This window comes from Homo sapiens, chromosome 11, assembly GCF_000001405.40.
Source record: "Homo sapiens chromosome 11, GRCh38.p14 Primary Assembly".
Classification (NCBI taxonomy): Eukaryota; Metazoa; Chordata; class Mammalia; order Primates; family Hominidae; genus Homo; species Homo sapiens.
Genome location: NC_000011.10, coordinates 867,301 through 882,825, shown reverse-complemented (window position 1 = coordinate 882,825; position 15,525 = coordinate 867,301). Strand labels below are relative to the sequence as shown.

At 58.2% G+C, this 15,525-nt stretch overlaps 1 protein-coding gene and 1 pseudogene across 20 annotated transcripts in view, besides 1 other annotated feature; both read left to right on the top strand.

Moving 5' to 3' along the window:
- CHID1 (chitinase domain containing 1) overlaps positions 1-14,967 on the top strand; it is a 47,356-nt gene extending 32,389 nt beyond the window's left edge. For 12 of the 20 annotated variants that reach the window (XM_011520300.3, XM_011520299.3, XM_047427479.1 and 9 more), the window contains 3 exons: positions 12,327-12,407; positions 12,663-12,705; positions 12,870-14,967. In XM_011520300.3, the coding sequence (XP_011518602.1) occupies positions 12,327-12,407; positions 12,663-12,705; positions 12,870-12,968 (223 nt within the window). In that variant the 3' untranslated portion in view covers positions 12,969-14,967. Of the gene's footprint in view, positions 1-310; positions 1,953-7,915; positions 9,020-12,326; positions 12,408-12,662; positions 12,706-12,869 lie in introns of those variants that run through there. The other 8 variants (XM_047427482.1, XM_011520302.4, XM_047427483.1 and 5 more) reach the window with 3 other exon arrangements.
- LOC124902604 (extensin-like) lies at positions 952-1,952 on the top strand (annotated as a pseudogene).
- Positions 11,457-12,219: an enhancer, noted in NCBI's record as "H3K4me1 hESC enhancer chr11:870607-871369 (GRCh37/hg19 assembly coordinates)". NCBI's record gives its function as "activates a minimal SCP1, AML or CMV promoter by ChIP-STARR-seq in naive H9 embryonic stem cells {active_cell/tissue: H9 hESC(naive)}" and the evidence as "EXISTENCE:reporter gene assay evidence [ECO:0000049][PMID:30033119]".
- Positions 14,968-15,525: the final 558 nt, after the last annotated feature.

The window sequence follows — 15,525 nt, the reverse complement described above, 5'->3', positions numbered from 1 at the left end:
TCCTCCTCCTCTCCTCTGCCCGGGAGTAATTTCCTGCTTTGTGTGTTCTTGGTATGCTCTGCGAGTGTGGTTTCTTGTTGGCATTACTTTACTTTATTTCTGGAGGACATCTTTCCTGGCTGTAGAATTCTGGCTGTCGGTTTTTTCACTGGCACCTTAAGCATGTGGCCGCCCTCTCATTCGGACAGCGTTTCACCGCCACCTCTTTCTCCTGCCTGTGTTGCTGTCCTCCCTGCTCGTAGGAATATCTTGTATTTATGGCTGGTTTTGAACAATTTTATTGACGTGTCTTCATTTTCCTTTTGCACAGTGTTCATGGAGCCTCTTGAGTCTGCATTCGTACTCTTAGCAAACTTGGAAAATTTGAGGCCAAATTCTTCAAATATTTTTTCTGTTTCTTCTCTTCTGTCTTCTCGTTTGGAGACCACAAACACTAGATCCATTGAATTTGTCCCACAGCTCACGAATACACCTTTTACCTTTTGGAATTCTTTTTTTGTTGAGACGGAGTCTCGCTCTGTCGCCCAGGCTGGAGTGCAGTGGCGCAATCTTGGCTCACTGCAAGCTCTGCCTCCCGGGTTCACGCCATTCTCCTGCCTCAGCCTCCCAAGTAGCTGGGACTACAGGCGTCTGCCACCGCGCCCTGCTAATTTTTGTATCTTTAGTAGAGATGGGATTTCACCGCATTAGCCAGGATGGTCTCGATCTCCTGACCTCATGATCCGCCCACCTTGGCCTCCCAAAGTGCTGGGATTACAGGGGTGAGCCACCACACCGGGCTGGGATTCTTTTTTCTCTGTTTTCTTTTTTTTTTTTTTTTTTGAGACAGGGTCTCACCCTGTCGTCCAGGCTGCAGTGCACTGGTGTGATCATAGCTCACTGCAGCCTCAACCTCCTGGGCTGAAGCCATCCTCCCACCTCAGCCTCGCAAATAGCTGGGACCACAGGTGCATGCCACCATGCCCCGCTAATTTTTGTATTTTTTTTGTAGAGACAGGGTTTTGCCATGTTGTCGAGGCTGGTCTCAAATTCCTAGGCTCAAGCGATCCTCCTGCCTCAGCCTCCCAAAGTGCTGGGATGACAGGTGTGAGCCCCGTGCCTGGCCTGGTCATTTCTCTTGCTGTGCCCAACCTGCCATTAATCCCATCCATCCTGAGCCCGACGTGGTCATTTCTCTCACCACCCAACCTACCGCCCGACGTGGTCCTTTCCCTCACCACCCAACCTACCGCCCGACGTGGTCCTTTCCCTCACCACCCAACCTACCGCCCGACGTGGTCCTTTCCCTCACCACCCAGCCTACCGCCCGACGTGGTCCTTTCCCTCACCACCCAGCCTACCGCCCGACGTCCTTTCCCTCACCACCCAGCCTACCGCCCGACGTGGTCCTTTCCCTCACCACCCAGCCTACCGCCCGACGTGGTCCTTTCCCTCACCACCCAGCCTACCGCCCGACGTGGTCCTTTCCCTCACCACCCAGCCTACCGTTAATCTCATCCAGTGCTTTTGTCACCTCGTGTTGTAATTCAATTTTTTTTATTTTTTATGAGATGGGGGTCTCACTATGTGGTCCAGGCTGGTCTTGAACTCCTGGGCTCAAGCGATCCTCCTGCCTCAGCCTCCCAAAGTGCTGCGATGACACGCGTGAGCCACCAAGCCCAGCCAACATGTTATAATTCTCTAGAGGCTTGCTTGGGGTCCCCTTTACGTCTTCCATGTCTCTACTAAACTTTTGCAGATTGGGATTCAGTTGTAAGAACTGCTGAGTGCCCATGTCTGCTGGTTCTGATATCAGGGTCGGTTTCAGGAGGCTGCTTTTCCTCCTTGTTTGGGGTCCTATTATGCTGCCTTCCTGTGGGCCTGGTACTCTCGGGTTGATGCCTGAGGCATTGCGAATTTTACCATGTTGCGTGCTGGGTGTTTTAGCATTTTTATAAATCATCTTAATCTTTGTTCTGGATGCAGTTGAGTTTCTTAGAAACAGTTTTAGCTGCTCACTTTTCTGGAGAACCTGGTCCTTTTTGTGGAGGCCTCGGCTGTCGTCTTTACGAGTTTTTGCAGGTCCCCCACAGGCCTGCCCTCCGTGAGGGGTGTGTGCGTGTGTCAGCCCAGGCAGGTGAGCCGAGGCCAGGCCATCACCCCTGATTCCTCCTGGTCGGCCGTGGGGAGGGGCAGAGGTAACCTGCTGGATTTGCGGGTCCTGAGGGTGGCAGCAGTGGGTAGAGGAGTATGTTGGGGCAGTGTTCCCTGCCCGGCCTCCAGGGGTGCCCTCCGTGAGCCCCTCCATGGCAGATGGCAGGTGGGCCATGTTGCAAGACCAGGGTCGTGTGTGGTGGTCCCCTTAGGGAGGCTTTCCCCCGACACTCTACGTGCACACTCCTCTCTGTCCACACGGCTGGTCCTGGGGTCCAGCACAGGCCTGGGCTCCCGCTGTTCTCTGGCTTCTGGCCCTGGGTGCGCTCTGGGTCACTGAGCAGGGCCTGACCCTGCTGCGGGGGCGGACACGAGGGGGTGCTGGCTGAGGTGGGCCTGGGGTCAGCCTGGGCATCAGGCGGGGCGAAGAGCCTGGCGTCTTCTCTCCCACGTCTCACCCAGTGAGTCATAGAGAACTCAGCCACACACTGAGACACGCGGGGCTCCGCACAGGCGAGGGCGATGCCCCAGGGCCCCTGGCTCGTTTGGGTCCCCTGTTCCTGCTGAGATGGGGCACAGGTCAGTCACTGGGTGCCAGCTCTCATGTCCCTGCAATGCAGAGTGAGGGGCCCGGCCGCCCTGTCTGCCCAACTGTCTGTTCTTTCAGTTGGGGCTGCTCTGTGCTCCTGTGTGTGCTGCACCCTCCCCCACCATGGCCCTCCTTTGATGCTGGGAATCCTGGGAAGGCTCTGGAAGCACAGCTCATGTCCCCCACCTTACCACATCCCTGACATGGTGCCTGGTTCTGGGACCTTTGGGTGGAGCCATGTACAGAGCTTGGGCTCCCAGCCCAGGATCCCCTGTGCAAAGCAAGAGGCCTCCCCATGCACCCAGCCCTGCCTCAGCTCCAGCTGTGGGCTCTGCTCACCCAGGCCTTCAGGGAAGCCTCAATTCTGGTTGGGCTTTTGAAAGGGAGACAGGTGTTGGCCTTGAGTCGCCACCGCACTAGTCTTCAAGGGTAACAAAGTACCATAGATGGGGCAGCTGAAATAACAGCTTCGTCTCAGTCCTGGGGGCTGGAGGTGGGAGATGAGATGAAGGTGCCGTCAAGGTGGGGTCGGCTCCTCCCAGGACCTCTCTCCTCAGCTGGTAGATCCCAGGGCCTCTCCTCAGCTTGTAGATAACTGCCTTCTCCCTGTGTCCTCACAAGGTCCCATGTGCGCCTGTGTCCTCTTCTCCTCTTCTTATAAGACACCAGTCATGTTGCATTACAGCCCACCCTTGTGACATCATTTTAACTTAATCACGTCTTGAAAGACTTCCTCAGTGCAGGCTCAGGCCTGTGGTCCTAGCTACTCAGGAGGCTGAGGCAGGAGGATCACTGGAGCCCAGGAGTTCAAGGCCAGCCTGGGCAACATGGTGAGACCCTAACTCTACAAAAGAAAAAGAATAAGGTGGGTGGATCACAAAGTCAAGAGTTCAAGACCAGCCTGACCAACATAGTGAAACCCCGTCTCTACTAAAAATACAAAAAATTAGTCAGGTGTGACCGGACACTGTGGCTCACACCTGTAATCCCAGCACTTTGGGAGGCCGAGGTGGGCGGATCACAAGGTCAGGAGATAGAGACCATCCTGGCTAACACGGTGAAACCCCGTCTTTACTAAAAATACAAAAAATTAGCCGGGCGTGGTGGAGGGCACCTGTAGTCCCAGCTATTTGGGAGGCTGAGGCAGGAGAATAGCGTGAACCCTGGAGGCAGAGGTTGCAGTGAGCCCAGATCGCACCACTGCACTCCAGCCTGGGTGACAGAGTGAGACTCCGTCTCAAAAAAAAAAATTAGCCGGGTGTGGTGGCGGGCTACTCGGGAGGCTGAGACAGGAGAATCACTTGGACCCGGGAGGCAGACGTTGCAGTGAGTGGAGATCGCGCCATTGCACTCCAGCCTGGGCAACAGTGCGAGACTCTGTCTCAAATTAAAAAAAAAAGAATAAAAAAGACTATTTCTTCAAATATAGTGCTACTCTGAGGCACTGGGGATTAAGACTTGTGTTAGTTCGTTTTCTGTTGCTTATAACAGAATACCTGAAACTGAGTACTTTATAAAGAAAAGGAATTTTTTTTTTTTTTAGACAGAATTTCACTCTTGTTGCCCAGGCTGGAGTGCAATGGTGCGATCTTGGCTCACCGCATCCTCTGCCTCCTGGGTTCAAGCAATTCTGCCTCAGCCTCCCGAGTAGCTCGAATTACAGGCATGTGCCACCACGGTTTGTTTTGTTTTGTTTTTTTTGAGACGGAGTCCCCAGGCTGGAGTGCAGTGGTGTGATCTCAGCTCACTGCAGCCTCCACCTCCTGGGTTCAAGCGATTGTCCTGCCTCAGCCTCCCGAGTAGCTGGAACTACAGGCACGTGCCACCACACCCAGCTAATTTTTATATTTTTAGTAGAGACAGGGTTTTGCTATGTCGGCCAGGCTGGTCTCAAACTCCTGACCTCAAGTGATCCACCCGGCTCGGCTTCCCAAAGTGCTGGGATTACAGGCGTGAGCCTCTGCACCCAGACAGGAGTTTATTTCTTATAGAGGCTGAGAAGTCCAAGGCCCGTGGCCAGTTCTGTGAGAGCGTTCTTGCTGGTAGGGACTCCGAAGAGTCCGGAGGTGGTGCAGGGTGTCCGTGGTACAGGGTCTGAGCGAGCTGCCGCCTTCCCCTTCTTAGAAAGCCACAGTCCCATGCCCATGGTCACCCACTGGTCCATTAACCCACTAGTCCATGAATGGATTAATCCGTTCACCAGGGCGGAGCCCTCATGACCCAGTCACCTTCTAAAGGCCCCGCCTCCCCACAGTGCCGCCTTCTAAAGGCCCCGCCTCCCCACAGTGTCGCCTTCTAAAGGCCCCGCCTCCCCACAGTGCCGCCTTCTAAAGGCCCCGCCTCCCCACAGTGCCGCCTTCTAAAGGCCCCGCCTCCCCACAGTGCCACAGTGGGTATTACATTTCAGTGTGAATTTTGCAGAGAACATTCAAGACATCACACACTTCACCCTGTGGATTTTAGGGGAACAGCTCAGCCCATTACACCATCTGAGGGTGATGAGTTAGGGCTCACTCACTGCACAAGAGCCTGGGTCAGGTCACACAAGGCATCAGTGTGGCTTGGCGCAACAGCTCACACCTGTAATCCCAGCACTTTGTGGGGCTAAGGCAGGAGGATTGCTTGAGCCCAGGGGTTCGAGATCTTCTATGCAAAATAGAGAGACCCCATCATTACAAATAGTTTAAAAACAAATTAGCCGGTATGGTGGTGCACACCTGTGGTCCCAGCCACTCAGGAGGCTGAGGAATGCCTGAGCTGTGGAGGTGGAGACTGCACTGCACTCCAGTCTGGGCTCCAGAGCAAGACCCTGTCTCCAAAACAACCAAAGCCTTCAGCAGCTTCCCGTGGGCAGTTGCACCCACCCATGATTGTTCTGAGAATTGGCTAGGGGGTTTGGGGCCAAGGAATTCTGATTACAAAGGTGTGTATGTGAGCGTGTGGGGGTGTATGCCCTCAGGACCCCCCAGCTTTGCACAAGTTGGGGTCTGTGTGCACCCAGTCAGGAAAGAAAGGCACTGCTTCTGGGTCCTCACTCCCAGCTGAGAAGTCCCCTCATCTGCCCTCCTCGCCCACCCGAAGTGCCCTTGTTAATGACCTCTGGGCCTGAGTGGCACAGAGGAGGGGTGTGGGCACCTGGCAGGCTCCAGCCTGGATGCAGGACCACTGGAGGGGAGCAGGCCATAGGGAGATCTGGGTCTCAGGGGCCCCTAGAGTGCCCGTCCCCACGTCCCATCCTGGGTGGCCAGTAGCTCTTGCCCTGTCTGTCCCTGCCTAGAGACCTTGGCCAGGGCAGCGGCACAGATGCCAGCTCAGCAGGGCCACCTCCCGCAAGGCTGGAATAAATAAACGGCTGCCAAGACTCGCTCACACGTGCATCCTCACAGCTGCCGAGCCGGCCGAGAGAGTGCTGACGCTGCACAGCCATGGCTCCTGCCTCAAGGGTACAGCAGGGAGGGCACGCCCACTCTAGTCCAAGGAGGACACTGGCAAGGATCACAGGCAGAGGCAACCCTGCTGCTGGGAGTGTGATGCCTGACAGCCACCAGTGTCTTCCCTGGGTAGGTTCCTGGCTCTCAACTGTGCCAGAGTCCCGTCTACGAGTGGACGGCACTCCTGCCTCCGCCTGAATGTCTGCACGGTGGAGGGGCCGTGTTCGCAGCTCCTTGGAACATTCTTCCTGACCCTGGCTCTGCCCAGGTGGTGTCCAGCCCCTCCCTGAGCCCCGACCTCCCTCTCAGCTGCACTGTTCATCTGCACCCTGTGGTCCTGCCCTGGACAGGTGTCATCCACTCTGGACACCAAATCCAGCCCAAGGGCTCACTGCCTGCAACGTGCACAGGGTGAGATGGGCCACCCGTTGTGGGGTGTCCTGTGGGTCCTCCCTATCTGTTCTAGAAGCTGGGGCTCTTCTCCCTGGCCCTTTCTCGAGGCTTATCTGTCCTTGCACCTGTGCCGGCTCCTGCTGAGCTCTGGCGACATCAGCTCAGACGCCTCTCCTCACCCTCTGTTCTCGCCTTGTGTTGGCACCAGATGTCTGCTTTTCTAGCTGAAATCTCACTTATTAGCTGCGACCGCCCTAAAGAGCAGACAGCCCCCAGCCTCACATGCCCCCACACACCACGTGCACCGCCAAGCAATGCGGCGCCTGCCACCCACACCAGCCAGTCATCCAGTCCCAGCCTCCTCGCTCCTCCAGCCTATACTGTGTCCTCTGCAGAGTGGAGCCCATCGTTCCTTCATCCTGTCTGTCACCCGCCAGGGGACGTCTGGGAGGCCGGCAGCAGCAGGGATTGAATCTTAGGCACGTGGTCCTCATCACTGCCGTGGCGTCTTTTGCTGCCACGACTCGGTGGACCTAGGCGTTTTCCTCCTCTGTCTTGTGAATCTTTTACTGTGAGAATCTTCAAGCATAGAAGTGCATAGAATGGTGTGGCGAGCCCCTCATGGCCACCCCAGGACTTGACTCCCTCGGCCTCATGTGGCGCTAAGAGTTTCAGCAACCCCAGCCCCGATCCCCGGCCTCATGCTCACCGTGTTCTCCTAACACCCCAGCGCTCTCCGATAGCCAGTGACGAGGAGCCAGGTCTTCTCCACACCCGGGGCCCTCAGTGTCTACAGCTTGTGCCTCTGGGAGCCTTGGCTGACTAGCAGCAGCTCCTGAGCACATCCCCAATGGGGCCAGGTGCAGGGACTGGCTGGCATTACCTGCGGGCCCAGCCACGCCCGCCTCCCCGAGCGGGAGACGGTGAACCTCAGGGCCTCCGGTCAGGACATGGCTGGATCCCACATTTCAGACAGGACAGCCCCGAAGAAGGATGGCCACCCACCGAGGAGGGCTGTCTGGTTGAACTCAAGCTCTGAGAGGCAACTGAAACCTGTGAAGATAGGAGCACCTGGCCTGGGGTTTCAGTGTCTGCAGGGTGGGCTTGGGGAGGGCCAGCCATCAGCTATGTCCTCCCTTCAGGAGGGGGCCTGGGCCTGGCACTGGGGGCCTCACCATTGCTCACAGCAGCCCTGGCCCGAGCCTGCAAGCCCCTCCTCCCACCAGCCAGAAGCAGCTCCACTCCCTTGGACCCGTTCCTTGGAGCTGGCTGCAGAGCCCTGTGGGGGCTCCTGAGGGGTCCTGGGAAGGGCTTCTCTCGACACACACTCCTGAGGCCAGAGCCGGGCCTCATGCACTTTTCCCTGCAGGAAGCTGTGCACCACCAGGCTGTGTCTTCTGTCTGCTGCCTCCAGGACACGGAATCGTTTTCTAATGGTGGCTCAGGGCGGCTCACAGCATACCATGACTGCTCTACCTTTGGAGCCAGGACAGCCCTAGCAGCCGGTGGGTCAAGTCCAAGGGGTGCTGCATGTGGTGACTCACGCCTGTAATCATTACAGCCTGGGAGGCCGAGTGGGGAGGATCACGTGAGGCCAGGAGTTTGAAACCAGCTTGGGTCACAGAGCAAGACCCCCATCTCTACAAAAATGTTAAAAGTTAGCAGTGTGTGGTGGTGCACACCTGTAGTCCCGGCCACTCAGGAGGCTGAGGCGGGAGGATCGCTTGAGCCTTGGAGGTCCAGGCTGCAGTGCGCTATGATCACACCATTGCATTCCAGTCTTCGTGACAGAACAAGACCCTATCTTTTTGTTTTGGAGATGGAGTTTCACTCTTGTCGCCCAGTCTGGAGTGCAGTGGCTTGATTTCAGCTCACTGTAGCCTCCACCTCCCAGGTTCAAGTGATTCTCCTGCCTCAGCCTCCCAAGTAGCTGGGACTACAGGTGTGTGCCACCATGCCTGGCTAATTTTTTGTATTTTTAGTAGAGATGGGGTTTCACCACGTTGGCCAGGCTGGTCTCGAACTCCTGACCTCAGGTGATCCGCCCGCCTCAGCCTCCCAAAGTGCTGGGATTACAGGCGTGAGCCACCACGCCCGGCCCCCTCTGTTTTTAATCCTTGCGTTTTAGACCTTGGCAAAGTCCCCAGGCTTTGGAGCAAGCCTCTCATCCCACTTATTTTGGTTTTCTGCAGCCCTTTCTCCAAAAGTTTCCAAGCTGGTCTCCGTGGGGTGACGCCCCCCACACACACACACATCAGGAGGTCCAAGGACATCTTTCTCACACTTGATCTGCTTTCTCCCTAGAAACGCGTCGAACCTCTGTCCCTGGTCCTCCTAAATTGCTCTGTGGCGCGTCTCGGTGTGTTTTGTGTGTATATCCTGTTTGGCTTTCCTTGGCCCTTTCCATTTGAGGCCTTGCAGCTGTTTTTGAGGTTGGATGAAATTCACATACCATAAAATGCACCATTTCAAAGTGGCGTTTAACACGCTTCCAGAATTGTACAGCCCGCATTACTGCTCCCCAAAAAAAGAAGCCCTGTGCCTTTTAGCAGCTGTGCCCTCTTTCTCCGCCCTAGCTTGTGCCCACCTCCAGCCCACCGTCTCTGTAGGTTTGTCTGTTCTGGATGTTTCTGTGAGGCCGAGCTGTCCGTGTTCATTGAGTCCTTATTCCTTACATCCTCCCCGTCCATGTGCTTGTCCCTCCCTTGGGCTCCTGCAGTGCTCCCTGCACCCACTCTCGGACTTTCACCTTCCCCTGCCCTCTCTGTGGCCCTTCCTTCCTCCCAGGCAGGCCCCTCGCTCGCTCCCCACTCACTGTGGCTGGTGCCTGCGCCCAAAAGACCTGTGTGGCCCTTGTTCCTCCTGGGAGCCTGGTCCCCTGGTGTGCTTGTCCATCACACCAGCCATGCTCCTTGGGGTCTTACAAGCCCTCAAGGGGGTCCCAGTTACCAGCCTGGATGGCCACTCAGGCCCCCCAAGGACCCAGCCCCTGTGTGTGTCTGCGGCCCTCTGAGGACTGTCCTCCCTCTGCTGTGGGCCTGGACTCCCTCTGCTGTGCCTGCAGCTGCCCGTCCTCACTCAGCCCCGCCCCTATACCGGGTGGCCCCACCTTCCCTCCCCAGGAGTGACTCTCAGACCCTCCCTGGGCTTTTGGGAGCTGGGCACACACCCCCACCCAGCACCTGGGCTCCAGCTTCTCCTCGTCCCCAGGGCCTGCTTGGGAGTAGCGATTCCTGGGGTTGGGGTCCCTGACAGCGCCCTGGTCATGGCTGCCCCCACAGCGTGGTCACCACCCACTCGCCAAACCACCAGGCTGGGGCTCCTGAGTGGGAGGCACCCAGTGCTCTCAGGGGTCCTGGCCACCCCCAGCCTCACCTCCTCCTGGAGGCAGCAGATTTTGAGCAGTGACCACAGAGGCCCCCCAGGAGGAGGAGTGTGTGGCGTGGCCAGAGCTCCCCACAGCCCGAGGGCCAACCCTGCCCTGAGGTATCTGCCCACGACCCTGCACATCCCATTCTTCTCACAGAGCCACCCAGCAGATATTGAGGGGGGACGCTGCAAATTACACCAACAACACCTTGAGTGGTGTTTCAGTTAAGGATAATGCAGTAATTTTAGAGCTGTCTGATGGGGTTGTGGCTATGCTGGCAGCCTCCATGACGTTGCCTGGTCTGGAGGGGCTTCTGGAAGGACCATGTTTGCATGTGGCCATTGAGGGGCCTGGCCCAGCCACAGGAGGGCAGGGGTCCAGCAGTCCTTTTCCAGGCCTGGGATGGCTGGAGCTGCCAGCCACTGCTGCCATCCCATTACCAGAGTCTAGAGGGACTGGGTGCGGTGGCTCACGCCTGTAATCCTAACACTTTGGGAGGCCGAGGCAGGCAGTCACTTGAGGTCAGGAGTTCAAGACCAGCATGACTAACATGGAGAAACTCCATCTCTACTAAAAATACAAAAACCAGCTGGGCGTGGTGGCGGGTGGCTGTGATCCTAGCTACTTGGGAGGCAGAGGTGGGAGAATTGCTTGAACCCAGGAGGCGGAGGTTACAGTGAGCCAAGATCATGCCACTGCACTCCAGCCTGAGTGACAGCGAGACTTTGTCTCAAAAAAACAGAAACAGGCGTCTAAGGGAAACTGTCTGGGTTGGGGAGGCTGCCCGAATGCTGTTTCCCACCCTCCCTGCCATGTGTTTGCCGGGGTCTGATGTCTGCAGAGCAGCCTCCATGCCCCAAAAGGCCAGAGCTACCCGATGGGGTCTGGCACTTTGTCGAGCACTGCTGGGGGGGTGGCAGCTGCTCCCATTCACAGCTCTGAAGTGACATGTGCCCTAGTCTGGAAGAGGCTCCCAGTGTCAAGGGGACTCTGCCCTGCTCAGGACAACAGCAGCCTTTCCCGTTTGGGAGCCTCAAACATCCCACTACTCCTGGGCAGGAGCAGAAAGGTGGCTCGAGGTGCGGTCCTGTGGCCATTTCTCACTTGGATAAACCCTGCACTGTCCATCTGTGACCCCTTAGGATCCTGCGGATGTCCATGCCACACGGCCCAGGTCCCTGCGCCCCTGCAGTTGCCTACTGCCTGTCCTCCCCTCCCACATGGCACCCGGGCTGTAGGCCCCACGCCAGGCCTCCTCCCTGAGGCTGCAGCCCCAGGCACGTGGGGGGCACTGTCCTCACGCAGCAGGCACTGGTCATGTTCCATTGTCAGCTGCCTCCACCTGCACAGACTCCTGTCTGTGGAGACCAGAAGCTTCTGGAACCACCTGCCCTGGTCCCAAATGTGCAGTGTGAGATGTGCACACACTCAGGGCCCCGTGACCTGGAAGCCGCAGTCGTGTCCCCAGCACCTTGGGAATGAGCCTGTCCTCTGTGTGAAGGAGGGGGTGGTTCTCAAACCACTGACTCTTGGTGCTCAGGAGGGGCCTGCTGCTGTCCTGGGCATGGGGTGGTCATTGTTCAAGACTGAGGCAGACTCAGTCTTTGAAAGGGTGCAGAGGCCAGGCGCGGTGGCTCACGCCTGTAATTCCAGCACTTTGGGAGGCCAAGGCGGACAGATCACGAGGTCAGGAGTTCGAGACCAGCTTGGCCAATACGGTGAAACCGCATCTCTACTAAAAAATAACAAAAATTAGTCGGGCATGGTGATGTGTGCTTGTAGTCCCAGCTACTCAGGAGGCTGAGGCAGAAGAATCACCTGAATCTGGGAGGCAGAGGTTGCAGTGAACCAAGATCGCACGACTGTACACCAGCCTGGGCGACAGAGTGAGACTCCGTCTCAAAAAAAAAAAAAAAAAAAGGTGCAGAAACCACTGCCCCGGGCAGCCATCCCCAGTACAAGGCACTGCCCACCCAGTACGAGGCACTGCCCATCAGTCCAGGGCCAGCAGCGGGGCCAGGGCAGCCTGAGGCCTGTCTGGTTAGCCTCTCACCTGGGGTCTGGACAGAGTGAGGAGCCCTGTCCAGCAGCCGCTGCGCGGCCTGAGGGTCACCCTCAGGCTCAGGCAGTTTCAGGCCCCGTGTCACTCTCCAGGCCACTGAAAGGACTTGGTGGGGTGGCTTCTTCCGAGGAAGCTCCTGGAAGATGTTTTTCCTGAGGTTTCCTCTAATACAGGGTTCACACGGCCTGGGGCTCTGGCCACCCCACCAGGTGTTGTCCCCCAGACCACTGGGGACAGTGGCTGCCCCGAGTGGCCCTGCCCCTGCTGAGAGCCACAGCCTTTGGGGGTACAGGGTGGGGCTGTGGGGGAGCTGGGTGGGCTCCCAAATCCATATCCTGGTCTCCCCAGGTACATCCAGACACTGAAGGACCACAGGCCCCGGATGGTGTGGGACAGCCAGGCCTCAGAGCACTTCTTCGAGTACAAGAAGTGAGTGTTTTGAAGTGCGTGGCCCACCTTGGCCTTGTGTGCAGGGAGGGGCCCTGGGGGTGGAGATGAGGGAGCAGCAGGGCCCAGGGGGTCTCAGGGTCACGAGCTCACTTGCTGCTCCCGGCCCTGGAGCACAGCTGGACAGCAGGTGGCCACCTGGTGGGTGGGAGGAGTACAGGCCGTGGACCTTGGCTGTGAGGGGAGGAGGCCTGGAACCAGCAGAGCGGATGGGCTGACAGTCCCTTTGTCTTGCAGGAGCCGCAGTGGGAGGCACGTCGTCTTCTACCCAACCCTGAAGGTGCGTGTGCTGCCAGCCGTGGGACCGGGGGAGGGGTGGGCCATGCGACAGCACAGCAGGCACTGGCCTGGGGTCCAGGCGGTGCTGCCCCTCGGCCTGGAGGACATCCCTGGGTGTTGGGGGGACAGGCCCCAGCAGGTGCTCACACCTCCATCTGTGCCCAGTCCCTGCAGGTGCGGCTGGAGCTGGCCCGGGAGCTGGGCGTTGGGGTCTCTATCTGGGAGCTGGGCCAGGGCCTGGACTACTTCTACGACCTGCTCTAGGTGGGCATTGCGGCCTCCGCGGTGGACGTGTTCTTTTCTAAGCCATGGAGTGAGTGAGCAGGTGTGAAATACAGGCCTCCACTCCGTTTGCTGTGACGGGTCTGCTGCAGTCCTCAGTCGGGGGTCCTGGGCACCATGTGACTCCCCATCCTCCCATGAGGGGTCCCTGCCCTGGATGAGTCCTAGCTGGGGGACACCCTGAGAGCTCGAGCCCCTCCCACCCGGGCATCCGCTGGCTGCCTCCTGTCAGCTGGGCAGGCGGGGCCCACAGTACCTGCCCCACCAGGACAGCCTGGCTCAGGCCTTTCTGGGCTGCTTCTCACATCCTGGGCTGGATGTGGGTTTGGAAGCTCTGGAACCATCCCGGACTCGCCCACTCCTGGATTCGAGGGCCCTCGCAGGGACAGCTCTGCCCAGCATCACCCCAGGGCCTGGCAGTGATAGAGCTGAGAGCTCCACCCCCACATACCTGCCACCCACCTGGCCAGCCACAGCACGTGTGTCACCTGCAGAGAGCCACCCAGACGTCCCCACCGAGTCCAGCACGGCAAGGGTGCAGGGGCTGCCCTAGAAATGGGCTCAGAGGAGCCTGGCCCACCCTCTTGAAACTGGTCCTGGACCTTGGCTCAGCTCTGCCGCCTCAGGTAGCACGACCCCCAGGCCAGCCTGGACACATCAGGGAGCATGGTGAGGGGCAACGGCAGGACCCGTGGGCCATATCGGGACAGGCATTTCCAGCGAGGGGTGGGGCAGAGGACATGTGGCTGGCAGGCTACACCCACCCTGCCATGCAGCGGTGTCCAGGCTCTGGGGAGGCCCTGGGGAATTTGGAGGCATCATGAGCCAAGGCCTGGTGGCCCTCGTTCCCCTGCCCCTCGTCACCATCCTGTCCTTGGCTGGCCGTGAGGACTCCCCTCCTCACCACTGGGTCCCACAGGGCTGAGGTGGGCAGTAGAGGGCATAGGTGGGTACATGTCCCGGGCAAGGTCTCTCGGGGGGACAGAAGTGAGTCCAGGGAGTGGGTGGGCCTGGGCGTCCCTCACTCAGAATGCCGTGGGGTGAGGACGGTGAGGACAGGGTGGGCACTGGGTTCTGGTTTAGAGTCAGTAATGTTAGGGCGCAGTGGGCAGGGGGTCAGGACATCTCCAGCCGGTGGTGAGGAAGCATGGTGGGGTCTCCTCCACAGGACGGGAGCTGGGGAGGGGGTCCTGGGTCGGACCCAAGGCACCCACACTTGAGAAAGCCTCCGCCTGGACGTCAGGGAGGCCTGCGAGCTGCCACAGTGCAGGTGCAGCCGTTCCCACCGCCCTGCTGCTGCTTGACACGGGCATAGGAGATACAAGTGGTGTGTGCGGCGGTTCATGCCTGTAATCCCAGTACTTTGGAAAGCCGTGGCGGGAGGAACGCTGGGCAACATGGTGAAACCCCGTCTCTACCCCCTAAAAATAGAAAAATTAGCAAGACATGGTGGCATGTGCCTGTACTCCTGGCTACTCAGGAGGCTGAGATGGGAGGATCGCTTGATGAGGTTGAGGCTGCAGTGAGCTGTGACCGACTGCACTCCAAAAACCTTGTCTAAAAAAACACAAGCTGCCACTGGCTTTGGGGCACTGACCTTGTCTCCCCAGAGGTGCTGACGCTAACATTCAAGTTGTTCTCGGGGGTCCTGTGGCTTCTGTTGGAGTGAGGGTGGGGGACACGCAGGTCTGGGAGGGTGGTGTGGGCCTGGAGCTAGGCATTGCCAGATCAGCATTGGGTGGAGGCAGGGGTGGGGATGCCACACAGGATGGGATGTCTAGAGCGGGCTGTGTCTCCCGGGGGGATGGGCAGAGGGTGGGGCAGGAATTAGCTGGAAATGAGATTGTGGGGTGCAGTTTGGGGATCAGATGCCCCAACCTGAACTGACCGTCATCCCTGTGGCCAGGGTCCCCACACAACCCTCACCCCTGGCTGTGAGAATCCTGAGGCACCTTGATGCATTTTTTTTCATGCCCTGTGACAGGTGCTTTGTGCTGCCAGCTCACTTAAAGGGGCAGAGTTCTAGGAACAAAATAGGGGAAAAGCACAGCCCCGCCTCGACAGCAGGCCCCAGGGTAGGGGGCGATGTGGAGGGAGGCCCGCCTCAGGAGGAGCCCCCGGGGTGGGGGGGTGAAGCAGAGGGAGGCCACCCCTAGCAAAGGCTGGCAGTTCAGGGACGGCCCCCCAGGGGCCTTGGCACTTTATTTTTTATTACTTTTTTTTTTTTTTTTTTTGAGATGGACTCTTCCTGTGTCATCCAGGCTAGAGTGCAGTGGTGCGATCTCGGCTCGTTGCAACCTCCATCTCCTGGAATCAAGCGATTCTCCTGCCTCAGCCTCCCAAGTAGCTGGAATTACAGGCGCCCGCCACCACGCCCGGCTAATTTTTTATTTTTAGTAGAGACAGGGTTTCACCATGTTGGCCAGGCTGGTCTCAAACTCCTGACCTCAGGTTATCCACCCACTTTGGCCTCCCAAAGCCGAAGGGATTACAGGTGTGAGTCACTGCACCCGGCCTCATCACTTCTTAGAGCTAATGT